This window comes from Homo sapiens, chromosome 11, assembly GCF_000001405.40.
Source record: "Homo sapiens chromosome 11, GRCh38.p14 Primary Assembly".
NCBI classification, from domain to species: Eukaryota; Metazoa; Chordata; class Mammalia; order Primates; family Hominidae; genus Homo; species Homo sapiens.
In genome coordinates, this window is record NC_000011.10 from 30,004,148 (window position 1) to 30,018,124 (window position 13,977).

At 41.9% G+C, this 13,977-nt stretch overlaps 1 protein-coding gene across 1 annotated transcript; it reads right to left on the minus strand.

The window, feature by feature from the left end:
- On the minus strand, positions 5,583-12,883 carry KCNA4 (potassium voltage-gated channel subfamily A member 4). Its single transcript, NM_002233.4, has 2 exons — positions 12,425-12,883; positions 5,583-9,313 (listed from the first exon to the last, which is right to left on the minus strand). The coding sequence occupies exon 2, from the start codon at positions 8,529-8,531 to the stop codon at positions 6,570-6,572; it is 1,962 nt and encodes a 653-aa protein (NP_002224.1). The 5' UTR covers positions 8,532-9,313; positions 12,425-12,883; the 3' UTR covers positions 5,583-6,569.

A 13,977-nucleotide genomic window follows, 5' to 3' on the forward strand; every position in this document is an offset into this window, starting at 1 on the left:
CTCCATGTTAACTAATGTGGCTGCTATCATAGAGAGAGTTCAGGTAATATCGCCTTAATCTCCAAGAGATATAGTATTTTCCAACTACTGAATGGTTGTGTGTGTGTCCTCAGAGCCTAAGAAAGATATTGGAACATTCACCAAAAACAACAATAACCTGAAACTTTTAATGCTGTAATTGAACCTGAGAGAATTAAGTAATTCACATCAAACAAAAGCTATCACAAAAAAATACAGAAAGATAATGGCTTCTAGTAATTCTATTTCTAAAGAGCACACAGTTGTTCTACAGGTCATATAGTCCAGTTTCCATGCTATATGCATCCTTTATATAATGAGAATAATGTGCATTAAAAAAATAAAATCAGCATTTTGCAATGTTCCATACAGTATTAAAATTAACCCTTTCTTCTGGGAATGAAACTCTCTATATACCCTTATGGAATGTCTCAGAGCTTAGGACTAGTATTATTGTCGTTATGGGGCACAAAAATCCAACCTAAAGTGTAAAGAAAGGTTTTTTAATCCTCCAGCCTCACCATTTCTCCAAAACACATGCATTTGCCTGCTAATGGGAATTATACACTTTTACTTCACTTTGAAAAGTCTCTTTCAATACCTCAGATCATTCATTTTGCTTATATTTGTGGGCAGAATATAAAATACATAATATATGTGAACATATGAATATATTATATATTCATATAATTATTTTGAAACAAATATAATTCTTAGACTTAGCACTGGCACAGCTTTTGCTGATATCCACAGGGACTACTTATTTAACTGCTTTGACTGATTTAAGAGGTAACTGGCCCCTCAACAGCCAATAGCTTAAGTAGCTGTGGATAAAAATGCCTTCATGCTCTTTGACTTTGAAATAGCCCTTGGTGTACAGAATCATGAGAAACAATCCAAGTACATTCCCACATAATACTGATTACTGGGAAAAACACCAGCATATCTTCCATATTTATTAGTCATTTCTAATAGTTACTATTAAAACCACTGCTAAGGTAGGTTGGCATTTCTATCATTTTCACAGAAAATGTTAACCTATATATTCATGGGGCAGGTTATTTCTGCTTTATGTCCTCTATCACAACAGTCACTTCTTGGTTATTTCTGCTAATGGTGAAGAGGCAGGACCAATGTTACCCCAAAATCCTGCATAATTAGTTCTAGCATATGTAACACTTTGAACAACAGATTTGGCTTCCCACTTAGGTTTTGCTTGGCTTTCTAGTTCTAGTGTTTTTGTTGTTTCTTTGTCATGGATTGTTTTATCTTTTTATAATTTTACCTTTTCTGGACTGGTTGTTTAACACAAGACAATAGGCTTCTGAGCCTGAGTAAAGCCAGCCTCAGGTGAGAAACCAACTACAGATAACCTACAAAACAGATTGCTTACAGGTAGGAAGAAAGAATGGACTATTTGTGGATCAACTAACAAAATCATTTAGCTCCTGGCACCCTGGATGCAAAATCTCCTTCCAAGACACCAATGACAACAAATGGACCAAAAGCTGAACCTTAAGTCAGCAACACTACCTCCAGTGAATCTGGGAATATGCTTTTCAAGATGACAGCATGACTTTATATTCAGCACATTATTTGCCTTATACATTTATTCCCATCCCACAGGCCTGAAAGGGGGATGCTTGAATCTCACTTAGAGCCACCGCTCATTAAATATGTGCCATGTTTTTAAGCAACCAACTTATGCCCTGGGATTAATTTATTTATCCATAAATAAGATGACCATATTTTCTAAACCTCAAATGGGGCCATATGGTCTGATATGTATTAGCATGCTTTCATGAAGAAGATACTGTGAGAAATTGGGACTGCTATGGAAACAAAACCAAGCCAGAAATAAAACTCATATCACAGTCCTAATCTTAATTTACTTTTCAGAAGTACATATTCCCATTTATTACAAAAAAAAAGCTCTGCTTCCTTCAATATTGAACACAACCACTCCAACAACCTTCTCCTCAGATAAGAATACTGATTTCCATACTAGAAAGTAGCACTGTCTTCTGACCTGCAGTGGCTACATTGGTCTGGAAGATCCTTTGCCTAAAGTTAAGTTTCTTTAAAGGCAGGAGAACCGAAAGGTACCTTATGTCCACATCAAATGTCTCTTGAAGAATTCAGAATGACTTTTGGGTCAAGGAGATTTCCTGGAACAGGCCCTTTTGTCACTGAATGACACCCTGTAATCATTTTAAACTGTATCAATAAAAACACATACACACACATAAAGAAGGATGTTACACTCTGTTCCCTGCACATGAGCACATCACCACAGGTTCATTGTAAAAATGTGAAGTGAATCTAGGTATACTTCTTACTTTCCCTAGCAATAGCTGCAATGTTAGTACTAAAGGCTCATCCAAACCCTGAAAATTAACAACAAGGAAGAACACCATTTCTGATTTGTTGGAAGGTAGGGGGGCTACTGTTTGTGATTCCAATGTGATTAAAAATAATTTTCCATTGGTTAATATTGACTTTTTTAAAATGGGAAAATATGTATCTTAGTTCACAGTATTTTCCTTATATCTTTCTTACTCATATATTGGGTTCTATTTCAACACATGCTTAATGAAAAAAATTTCAGGAAGCTTCAGTGATCCTGTTTAAAACAAACTTGACAAAGCATGCAGTAGCACTTGTGAAACACTACATGTGTTTAAGCATAAAATGAGTTCCCCAGCACAGGTCAAAATAGTGTTTACTGACAAGACTGCACGATAACAAAGCAAGACATCAAAATGTTTACTTACCAATTTTCACCATATGTATTCAACTGAGGACTGAAGAGTTATTTTTCATTAAATGAATCCCTTCCCTTTAGAAGTTGTTAGAATAACAGCTCAGAATACATCCTATTCATTCAGCTTAGTCTACATTCGAAAAAACTCAAACACCTGTTCTGCGGTTAACCTAACAGTGAGATTTTTGTTTTTATTTATTTATTTTTGCTCCTATTACTTACTAAAAAAAATCCAAGCTGATATGACTGGAATGGTACTTAGAAAATATGAAGCTAGTCTGATATTTCTTTTACTCCACAGTAGAATTGTGGTACGAAAAGGAACCAAGTAATAATGTAGCCCAATATCCCCATGTTAGATACACACACACACACACACACACATACACACACTCCTGAGGATCAAGGAGATGAAACAATTTGCCCACGATTAACAAGCCAGCTCTCTTGACTCCCTAGACCAGCTGTCATTCCTCTAGCACCCACTGACTCCCTTTCACAGAAATCAAAAGGACTATTTATTCCTCCTTTCTTCCCCATAACTGTTATGCCTGTTTTCCTTTCCAATCATTTGCAAGAGAGAACAATGCATCTTCCCTTGAAAAGACTCTGATTAGGATGACCCTCAAATAGTGTGCTTTTGGTAACATCTATTGTCATCTGAAAAGCAATAAAAGGATCCCAGATCCCAATAATTAGGATCTCTAAAGAAGGTCACTTCCCTTTTATCTTAACCAAATGTGTATAGTGGTCTCTAAGATACAGTTTCATAAATTAGTTATAAATACATCCTGAAAGCATATTCATCAGTATAAATTTTTTACAAATGGATCTAAAGCACTTTGACTAGTTTCAACTGGAAAAATGTTATGAATTCACAACTGTACTGGATGTCCTGAATTCATGAATTCTCTTCTAAGAGAAGTGTTCCATACAGAAGAACTCCCATACAAGTCTTGAGGGCTTAAAACCTTCCTTCTCAGTGTGGGATCAAGATCGAGATACTCTAAAATAAATGCATCTTGCAGGGGGAAAGAAACAATAAGTTTAGTATGATAACCTAATAATATTTGGTTTGAAAGCTTATGTCTGTCACTTCTTGACCTTCTCATCCGAAAAAAAAGAAAGAAAGAAAGAAAAAGAAAAAAAAACCATGTGAAATAAAGGTAAACCCCAAATGACTACATTTCCTGGATTCTCAGAATTATCAATATAATGTGTTTTGTCAATCAAATTTAATATAACTTTCAGATTTAAAAGGAGGTATTATGGAAACAATGAAATACAGTACATTTCCCTTCCAAACATAGCCAAATCATTGTCATTGCTATTATAGAAAGTTCAATAAACATCCCTTATATACTAAACAGCCCTTAAATTATTTTGAGATATAATCTGACCTAGTTGGCTATATTGTAAGATACATGGTCTGTTGTTCACAGAGTCAACTTTCTATACTATAACATGCCTGAATCTATCAACAATAGACTCTCTTGTATCTGCACATCAACTTCTTGTAAGGACTGCAGAGTTAAAGCAATTACCCATAATTTTTACAATATCCTAATAAAGTAGATGTATGCTTGTGCATTCTAAATCGCTTTTTCTCCCAGAGGAAGATTAAACAATTTAGACATAACATCAGGCATTTGTATGGAAGTCAACATTTCAGAGTTTTCGCATGTTCTCATTTGTTTTGCATAACTCTGTAACGTAATGTGCTTCATTTGCCCTCTTTTTAACCAATCACGAAATTTGGGTGCAGAAATGTTAAGTGACATTTCCAAATGACTTACAGCCTGTCCAAATAGCCTTACCCCTTCTCTAATGCTTGTTACATTTTTGCCCCAAATCTAAAATGTATTAAAACATTATCTTTGAAATCTTATTGTAAGATGACATTTTCTTGTTTTATCATTCTCTGTTGTCTTCTATTGATCTTTGTTCTTCACATTCAATAAAAGGCCCTGCTTGCTGTTTTCATTCTCTAAAAGGTGTTCTAGAAAAGTATTTCTCTACAAATGGTGGGGAAAGGGTGGAGAGGGGGTGCAGTTTTACTTTTAAGCCTAATGTTGAATTTACTTTGAATTTCAAATACCATTAAAGGAGAGGTAGGATTTATGTAATTATGAAATGATGGCCTGGATTTTAAAAAGCTTGAGAAAGGCTATTCTAGGTCAGTTTGTTTGTTTGTAGCTCACAGTTACCAGAGTTCACTATGTGCCGAAATAGTGTATGCAGTGTTGTTTGTTTTGTTTTGTTCCCCCGCCCCCAACCAGAGCTCAAGACAATCATTTTATAAAGAACAGAAGTTAAATAAACATTGTAGAATAAGGCCTCTTATGCATTCTGAGTTTTCTAACCTATACCTCATGATTTCATAGTGCAAGGCTGATCGCTAGTTGTTATCTCACATTCTAGAATGCTTTGTCATGACTTAAATGCAGTTATATGTGTCATAAATTCCTTTAATAAAGATAATAATGATGGTGATGTTGAAACCAAATGTTTGACACAATTCTTCCTTATGTCCATTTTAGCAAATATAATGTTAAAATCTGAGGTTAATCCCCAAATTCTGTTCTTATATAACTGCACAAAAAAATAAACTTAATAAATCTAGCGTTTATGTTTCACATTTAATAGAAAAATTTTAAGCCATAATCACTGTAGCTGCTTGGCATCTTCTTCAAGAATTCTTTCAGTGCATGCATTAACTTTGGTTAAATTATTCTGGAGTTAAAAGGCAGAAGAATATATAAAATAGTATGATTTCAGAAGCATCATTCTAACAGACCAATTTCAAAAGATTCAGTTGCTAAATTTTACTTCATAATTCCTTTGTCAATCAGTTATTTAGATTTTAAAAGAGGAGAGAATCCTGTGATGTTATCTGCATGATCATTAGTCTCACACAATGAAAAGAAAACAATAAAATAAGACTAAAGAAATCATTCTTCCAATGATTGTCATTGAACTGTTACATTAGTAAACATTCACAGTTTGAAGTCTCTCTCAATCTCCAGCATATAAAGTAGTGCAAAGAAAAAAAAATCCAGTCCTGTTACCTGCAAACAAAACTTATTACATATTCTCCAATTTCACTTATTCTATAATGTTAGACATTTGCTGTTAAGTCTTCCCAAAATTAATAACAAAATATAATCAATTTCTAAAGGCCCTTGCAGCCTTTTTAAAAGTTAATTTCCAGTTAAAAATAAATTTTAATTAAATCCAAGATAAAATTGTGACCTATAGTCTATTAAATAATTTACTTTCTTTTTTCTCTACACAGTATTTCTTACAATTTTTAAAAAACAACTACAGAATCCAAAGACATACGATATGCTGTTAAAGCACTGATAAATGACTGCTCAGATTCATTAGTTCTTACATAGTAAATACTTCAAAATGCCAACTTTTCCCTTCACTGCACAATTACTAACATTGACAATTTACTTCACACACACACACATATACACACACACGCACACACTCTCTCTCTCCATCTTTACTGTTAACATCTTTTCCAGTTAATGTGCAAAATTCTTGCATTCTAATAAAAATATAAAGATAGATTTGCTCCTATTCCTCCCTCTTCTCCAAGATGTATCATTTATTTGATATGTAATACAAGTTTAGTAACAATTATGCCATGTATAACCATTAAATAGTGTACTACTGTATGCATTGGATCATTTGCATATTTCATTTTCATAACTGCACTCTCTATGCATAAATATATTTGGAGATGCTGAGGGGGGAGCAGTGGCAGGTGGAAAAAGATTCACACATCAGTCTCCACAGCCTTTGCATTAGAACAGTTGTTTTTATCTGTCTCACTGTCATCCCCCTTTCCCTGACACTTCTCCTCCTTTGCACACAGAGATTCCTTAACTCCTTCTTCCATCTCTAGATACTCTGACTTGTCCCCCAGGGAAGAAGAAGTAGAGCTCCGAAATTTCTTGAGCAAATTAGAGGGGAGGTATGGACAACTGACTGCATTCTGCGTTAGCTGTGTCTGTTCCTCATTTTCAGTCTCTCTGTGGTAGAAATAGTTAAAGTTAGAGACAATCACTGGCACTGGCAAAGCAATGGTTAAGACACCCGCAATGGCACACAGGGACCCGACAATCTTGCCCCCTACAGTGATGGGCTTCATGTCCCCATAGCCCACAGTTGTCATGGTCACCACAGCCCACCAAAATGCATCTGGGATGCTTTGGAAATGGGTAGTAGGTTCATCCGCCTCTGCAAAATACACAGCACTAGAAAAGAGGATGACCCCAATGAAGAGGAAGAAGATCAGAAGGCCCAGTTCCCGCATGCTGGCTCTGAGGGTGTGGCCCAGGATCTGCAGGCCTTTGGAGTGCCTGGAGAGTTTGAAGATCCGGAATACTCGGACCAGACGAATGATTCTGAGGATGGCAAAGGACATGGCCTGCTGCTGCTGACCATTGCCACCCCCCTGTTGCTGGGCCAGGTCAGTGCCCAGTGTGATGAAGTAAGGCAAAATGGAGACAATGTCAATGATGTTCATGATGTTTTTGAAGAAGAGTGCTTGGCTGGGACAAGCAAAGCAGCGAACCACAAACTCAAAGGAAAACCATACAATACAGACTGTTTCCACGATGAAGAAGGGGTCATTGAATATTGTGTGCCCTGAGTTCTCCAGATGGGGTGCTGAAGTATCATTCAACAACCCACCATGCCCGCCAGCACTCAGTGCCATGACGAGATCCCTGTCGTCCCTAAACTCAGGCAAGGTTTCCAGGCAAAAGATGACAATGGAGATTAAGATGACCAGGACGGACACAATGGCTATGCCCCTTGCAGGACTGGAGCTCTCTGGATATTCAAAGAGGAGCCAAATCTGCTTTTTAAATTCATTCTCGGGGAGGGCCCTGTCTTCCTCTTCTCTCACAAAGCCCTCGTCCTCCCGAAACTTCAACAGGGCCTCCTCCCCCAACTGATAGAACTTCACCTCCTCAGTGAAGATATCAAAGGGGACATTGACTGGCCTCTTCAGGCGGCCTCCTGATTGATAATAATACAAGATGGCATCAAAGCTGGGGCGGTTCCTGTCAAAAAAATACTCATTGCGCAAAGGGTCAAAGTACTGAGTCCTCTTTTCAGGGTCTCCCAACAAAGTCTCTGGAAACTGGGCCAGAGTTTTCATTTGGGTCTCAAAGCGTAGGCCTGACACATTTATCACCACACGTTCACAACAGTCACTGTAGCGGACTGAACTGTAGCCGCCACCGCCCTCATCCTGAGGCAGCAGATCCGTGTAGGAACACTCATCACCATGGTCATCTTCACTATAGTAAAACCTTCCCTCCTCTTCCTCCTCTTCCTCCTCCTCCTCATCTTCCTCCTCCTCACTCAGCTCCCTCAGGATCTTCTCCTCAGAGCCACTGGGCATCAGGTCAGAGCAATGAGGGAAGCTGCTCTGCCGGTAGTGGGCTTTCTTCTTCTCAGACCGCTGTCGCCTCCTCCTCCGACTACCCCGGCTGCTCTGAGGGTCATGGGAGGTACAGGCCCCGCGTGACTGGTGGTGGTGGTGGGAGCCCCCACCAGAACCCCCGCTACCTTCGACAGCAGCTGTGGCCGCTGCAACAGCAGCTGCTGCAGCTGCCCTGGAGTGAGCAAGCCTCTCCCGCTCCCGGGCCCGGGCCTGGGCAGCATAACCATAAGGCATGTGACTGTTGCACCCTGAGCTCTCCGCACTCACCATTGCAACCTCCATGGTGGTGGTTTTCGGAAATGGCTGGTTCCAGTTGTAGAAGAAGAAGAAAGAAAAATAGGGCAGCTTCTTTTCTCACCAAATTAAGGTAAGTTTGGAACCCTTAAGCAGATTGCTTGGAAGACTAAGGATATTTTCAGTCCAACTTTGCATTTTCTGTTTTTAAATCAGCACGCCCCATGCTCTCTCTTCTCAGGGATTCAACATTGCTCTCCAGAGCTTGGCTGGTCGAGATAAATAGCCTGGCACTCTCAAGACTAAGAAGTCCGAAAATGCTGGAGTCTCTCAGACACCTATGTTTTGGGGGTAGATGTTGAAATTTGGAAATATGTCTGGGATGTGGTTAGTGATGTTGCTGCAAGATTCAAAGGCAGCAAGTGTCTGACAGCCAGAAGTTGTGCCTAGAAAATGAAATATATTTTTCTGCCATGGAAATTGGCCAATGCTCAGTCCATTAAATGTAAATAAAATGCAAATAAGCCTTTACTGTTAGCACTTGCCTTCTAGTGATGGCTCGAACCATGTTAAGATGTGGTTTGAAGTATGTCCAGCCATTTCTACTCAAAGTCTATCAGGATGATTCTCCAGGCTCTCCTTTTAAGTTCATCAAAGGCTTCCTGTACCCAGGTACAATGCCAAACCACAGATAGAGGCAAAGACCCTGGGAGGTAGAGAAGGTGCTAGATGAGGTGTCAGCAGAAGCAAAACCAGCTCTGAGGTCTCCATAGAAATCAAGGAAATGCAGAGCATTCTTCAGCCAAAATCATGCAGAAGAAGCACTTCACCTGAAAAAGGATTGGAAAGAAGCATAGGAGAAAAATAAAAAGGAAACAAATCATAAAGAGCAAACTGAGCATTTCTCTTCACATACACATCCTTCTCTTTTCTTCAAGAAAGTCATATAACACACCAAGCACCAATATTTTCAAGAGTATGGGGCAGGCTATTCTCACTCACTAAACATCATTCTTTCCTTCTTCAGTTATTATTTCAGCTCAGTTTATTTTTATGGTAACTCAATTATTTTTCCTCTCTCCACTCATGGCCCACATGGCTCTTGCTTCTATCTTCCCCTTCACCAATGCTAGGTCTTAATTCTCACTGTCACTCTCTTCATTCCACAAAAAATAATGCTGTGACTTTACAGCTGCTTCCATCATTCATCTATTTCAAGGCAATTTTTAAAATTTCCACTCATAAAGTGTTTCTGAATTAAGTGCCCTTCTACTCCTCTCTATCTTGACTCAGCACTGGGGAAGTCAGAAAAAAAAATAATAATATTCTTATTCTTTGTGCAGACAGCACCACTTGAATGCACTTCAGTCACCTCATCTATAAAGTACAAATAATAACACAACCTCCCCCATCCCATGTTTGTAAGGATTAAATGAGATAATGGATGTTGATAGAATATCTCAGTGCCTTTTACCTAATGAATGGCAATAAACACTGGCAGTTATGAATAACATAACAGCAACCTATGTTTTTATTGTCTATCTACACAGCCCCAAGTGTTTGTGTCCTTAGGCCACAAACTAAAGTAGGGGAAGATGGGACGTGAGGACATACAAGACATCCTGAGACTCACCAATGGCCCTTGTTAAGTTGGCACTGCCTGACTCCCTACAGCATGTCCCCATTGTTTTTCTGTTCCCTTGAATCCTGAACACTCCCTACCACCCACAGACTAGGAACTAATGCCAATTTCCACATCTCTAATAACCATCTTCTCTCCTTGGCGGTCACTCCATGTTCACCTCAATGGTTCCTCCTCCACTCTGCTCAAGGGACTATCTCCTTATTTTTTTAAATGTCAGTTTCTGTGGACTTCATTCTTAGCCTATCATACTTACCCCCACTTCAATAAAATCCACATCCCTAACATCCCCCCTCCTCTCTCTTTCTCTCTCTCTGCCCACTTTTATTTACAATCTCACACTTCTGAATTGCATGTCCCTTGCAGCTCCGATCTGCTCCCTCTGTCACCTGTTATTCCTGGCCCTTCTTCTTCCTTAGTTTGCTCTCCCAAGATCCAGGTAATTCATCTCCTCAGCCAGGCCCTGTAAAAGCCCCCATCCAAATCTCCTGTCTCCTCTTGATTTTTCCATGTACTCTGTTCAACAGGACTTCCAAGAATGCAGGGAGTAACCCAGAGAACTGGAGAGAATGATGATAGTCAGAATTCAGGGCATCTACCAGCTTCTATTACTGGAAGCACTTGGAAAGCATAAGAGAAATGGCTTTCTGAAGCCATTAACAGGATTCAGCTCTTGACCACCTGCTGCTCCTTGCTGATCCTGTCAGCCTAAAAGCCTAAACACACTGAATTTTATGAAGTGACAAGCATGGAAGTGGCAAACAGAGGTCTTCCCAATCATACACCCCTTCCCAATCATATATATTTTCCTAGGGCAAGAAGGGCATTTGATTGCAACACAAACTCCAGAAAATACACCACAGAGGGCATCTCACATGCCATCTCCCTTCCTTTGCCTGACTCCTAACATCATCTCATACTCTGAAATGTTTACCCTCAAGGAGTTTCCAAATCCCTACTTACAAAACCATCCTGGGGTGACATTCGCAGTGGAGTGTCAGGCCAACATCCTTTCAAGACCGGTACAGACCAAATAGCCTGAGAGTTTGCTCAGTTTCTTCCCCAACTCCCCTAAAACAATTATAATTTCAATGAAGCCCCAATGTAACCCAAGTTCCTGTATAGTTGAATACTACACACACTGCCTTCCCACCCAACTGACTCCCAGAAGGTCATGAATTAGCGAGTCTTCTAATTCACCATCAGCTCTTCGGGAGTTCTAGAACTGCCCTCTTTCTGCTCTACACCAAATAATTTCACATTTATTTATTTATTTGGGATTGTTAGTTTTTGTTTATCTAACTCCCTCCTCCACCCTACAAGTAGCAAATTGCCTTCCTTTTAATCATCTACTAGTTACTTCACTATCCCTGATCTAGAAAGAAAGGGAGAGAGAAAGAAAAGAAGAGAAAAGAAAAATCATTCCTCCCAGCAAATCAGACTGGTTTAAAATCTCTCTTCTTTCTCAAGGTACTCTTGTTAGGAGAATCTATTCAAGCCAATTCCCAGGAGCCTTTATGAGAGAGATCTTTGCAGAGGAATTTGTCTTCTTCTTTAACACCATTAAACTAATAGGATTTTGCAGACTACCTATTCCCCAATCCCGGCGCCCCCAAACAACAGCCAAGCATCCCGCCCCTCCTCCTCTCACCCCTCCAACAACAAGGCTGTTCGTCTCTCAGTGCTAATTCCTGCAACTGTGTCACTGTCAGGGTGGTACCTGAACCTTAGAGAGAGAGAGAGAGAGAAAGAGAGAGAAACTGAGAGAGGGAATCAGAAAAGCCACCACCGTGAGAAATATACACTTCAACGCACGCCATTTATGCAGCCCCTATGTATGTTGCTCAAATGCTCGGAAAATGCACGCAAATCCAAACGTTGGAAGAGGCAGCAATTCAGACCCGTTCACCGGCTGTTCCCAAAAGAAGGGAACCGGTGCGGCTGGGAGGAGGCGAAACGATGCTAAATCTTAACCCCCCTCTCGTTGGGAAACGACATCTTTAATCGCGCCCTCGCCTCCAGACCTCGGTTCCCGCTCCAGCACGTTAAGCAGGGCGCACTCACCGCATCCCCGGGTTTGGGAAAATAACAACTGTTGGCCCCCCGGAGCGCCGCGCAGCATCCGCACCTCCCTTCTCCCACCTCCTGGTTTATTTTTAACCGCCTTCCATTCATGCCCTTCTGTCACATTCCCGATATTATTTATCCCTCAAATGTCCACTGTTTCTTAACAGCCAAAATAAGAAGGTAGAGGAAAGATACAAAAAAAAAAAAAAAAAAAAAAAGGTATCATACTTACCGTTCCCCGGCGGGGCGAAAAATAAAAATAAAGAAAATCCACCGGCTGGCTTGTTTTTCCCCCTCAAGCTGCAACAGCTGGAGGAGGGGAAGAATGATCCTGGGTGGGGGGCGGGGGGTGGTAAAAGGAATCACTCGGGTTTGGCAGGTGGAGGCTCCAAATATCCACGGAACAAGTTCTGTTGCCTGGCCCGAGGGGTGCACAGAGTCCTCGCGGCTGGAGCCTGGGGGTGGGGGTTGGGGCTGCCCCAGAGAAGACCCCAAGACTCCTGGTTCCTCTGGAGTTCAGCACAGGAGGGATTGCCTGGGAAAGGAAGTCAAGGTTCCCCCGAAAAGAAACAAAATCCTAGACAGCAGCGATCACTTGTTAAGCCCGAATTCCTCCTCCAACATCCATCCCTCTCTCGCTCTCGCTGGCTGCGGGAGCAGCACACGCCTCCCCTGGCCGCGAACGCGCTCTGGGCGGGGGCGGGGCCAGGGCCGAACCGAGGGTGTGGCGTTCGCGACGGTCGCCAGGGGCGCCTCCCGGCGCGGCGGGGCGGGTGCAGTCACGACGCCGCGACTCCCCGCACCCCGGCTGGGCCCCCCGACTCCCAGGATCTGGGATCGATTCCAGGAGTCTTTGGCTGTGGTCCCCACAGGCGAGGAGCAAATCCTGGAGAAGTGTCCCCGTTGGGGCCGGAATAGGGGTTTCGACGGCAGCGCGGGAGTCCCCAGAGGGCTTGGGAGCGGGGAGCTCCAATGGGAGGTGCAGTCCCGAAAATGGGGTCCTCTGGGACATCTCCTCTACCTAACTTGCTTTCTCTATATCTCCCCTCGAGCCCCGAGCCCCGTCTTCTTTTCCCCACCCCATCCCCTCCCAAAGCGGGTTTGTTGGGTTGGGAGCCGGGTGCATCTCCGGCGAGGCCACGGGCGGGGAGCCCTCCTGTGCCTGCCAGAGCGCCCAGATCCCTCAGTCTCCGTCTCCTTTGCACACAGGAGTTGGGAGGCTTCAGCGCCGGGGTTGGGCCTCAGGGGCGCGGAGGAGACCGACTTTCAACCTGTATTCAATCCCGGGCAGGGGAATGTTACAGAAATTGGAATCAGGCCCAGGCTAGGGGCTGCGCACAGGAGGCAGCAGTTCTAGGGGAGGAGGGTTGGAGAGATGAGTAAGTTGCAGGGTGGGCCAGGGGCTGAGGGCTTTGGAAGGCGGGGGAAGAGCCCGCAGCCAACCTGTTGCTGCAAAAACAAATACGGCTCTGGTATCGACTCCCTGAGGGCTCTTTGGATCCTTCAGGACAGAAATCAAGGGATATCGCAGCAAAAAGCAAGTTTTTTTGGTTTTCTTTCTTTCTTTCTTTTAATTAAAGCTTGTGCGCACAAGGGAGCTAACACCAAGAAAAAAAAAAGTGGGCTGTTCCTCGAAGTCAGGGTGTGGGTTTCTTTTACGGGCCTCTCCCGTAAGGGGAAATAAGGAGAACTATAGACAGGGCATGTAGAGGTGGAGTTTTTCTGGTGCATGCATGGTGGTTTAACATGCTTCTTCATAGGACGTATGTATCATTAGCATCTTAA

What these genes read in the sequence shown, in the direction of transcription:
- KCNA4 (NM_002233.4), bottom strand. Translation starts at nt 8,531, where the DNA reads ATGGAGGTTGCAATGGTGAGTGCGGAGAGCTCAGGGTGCAACAGTCAC.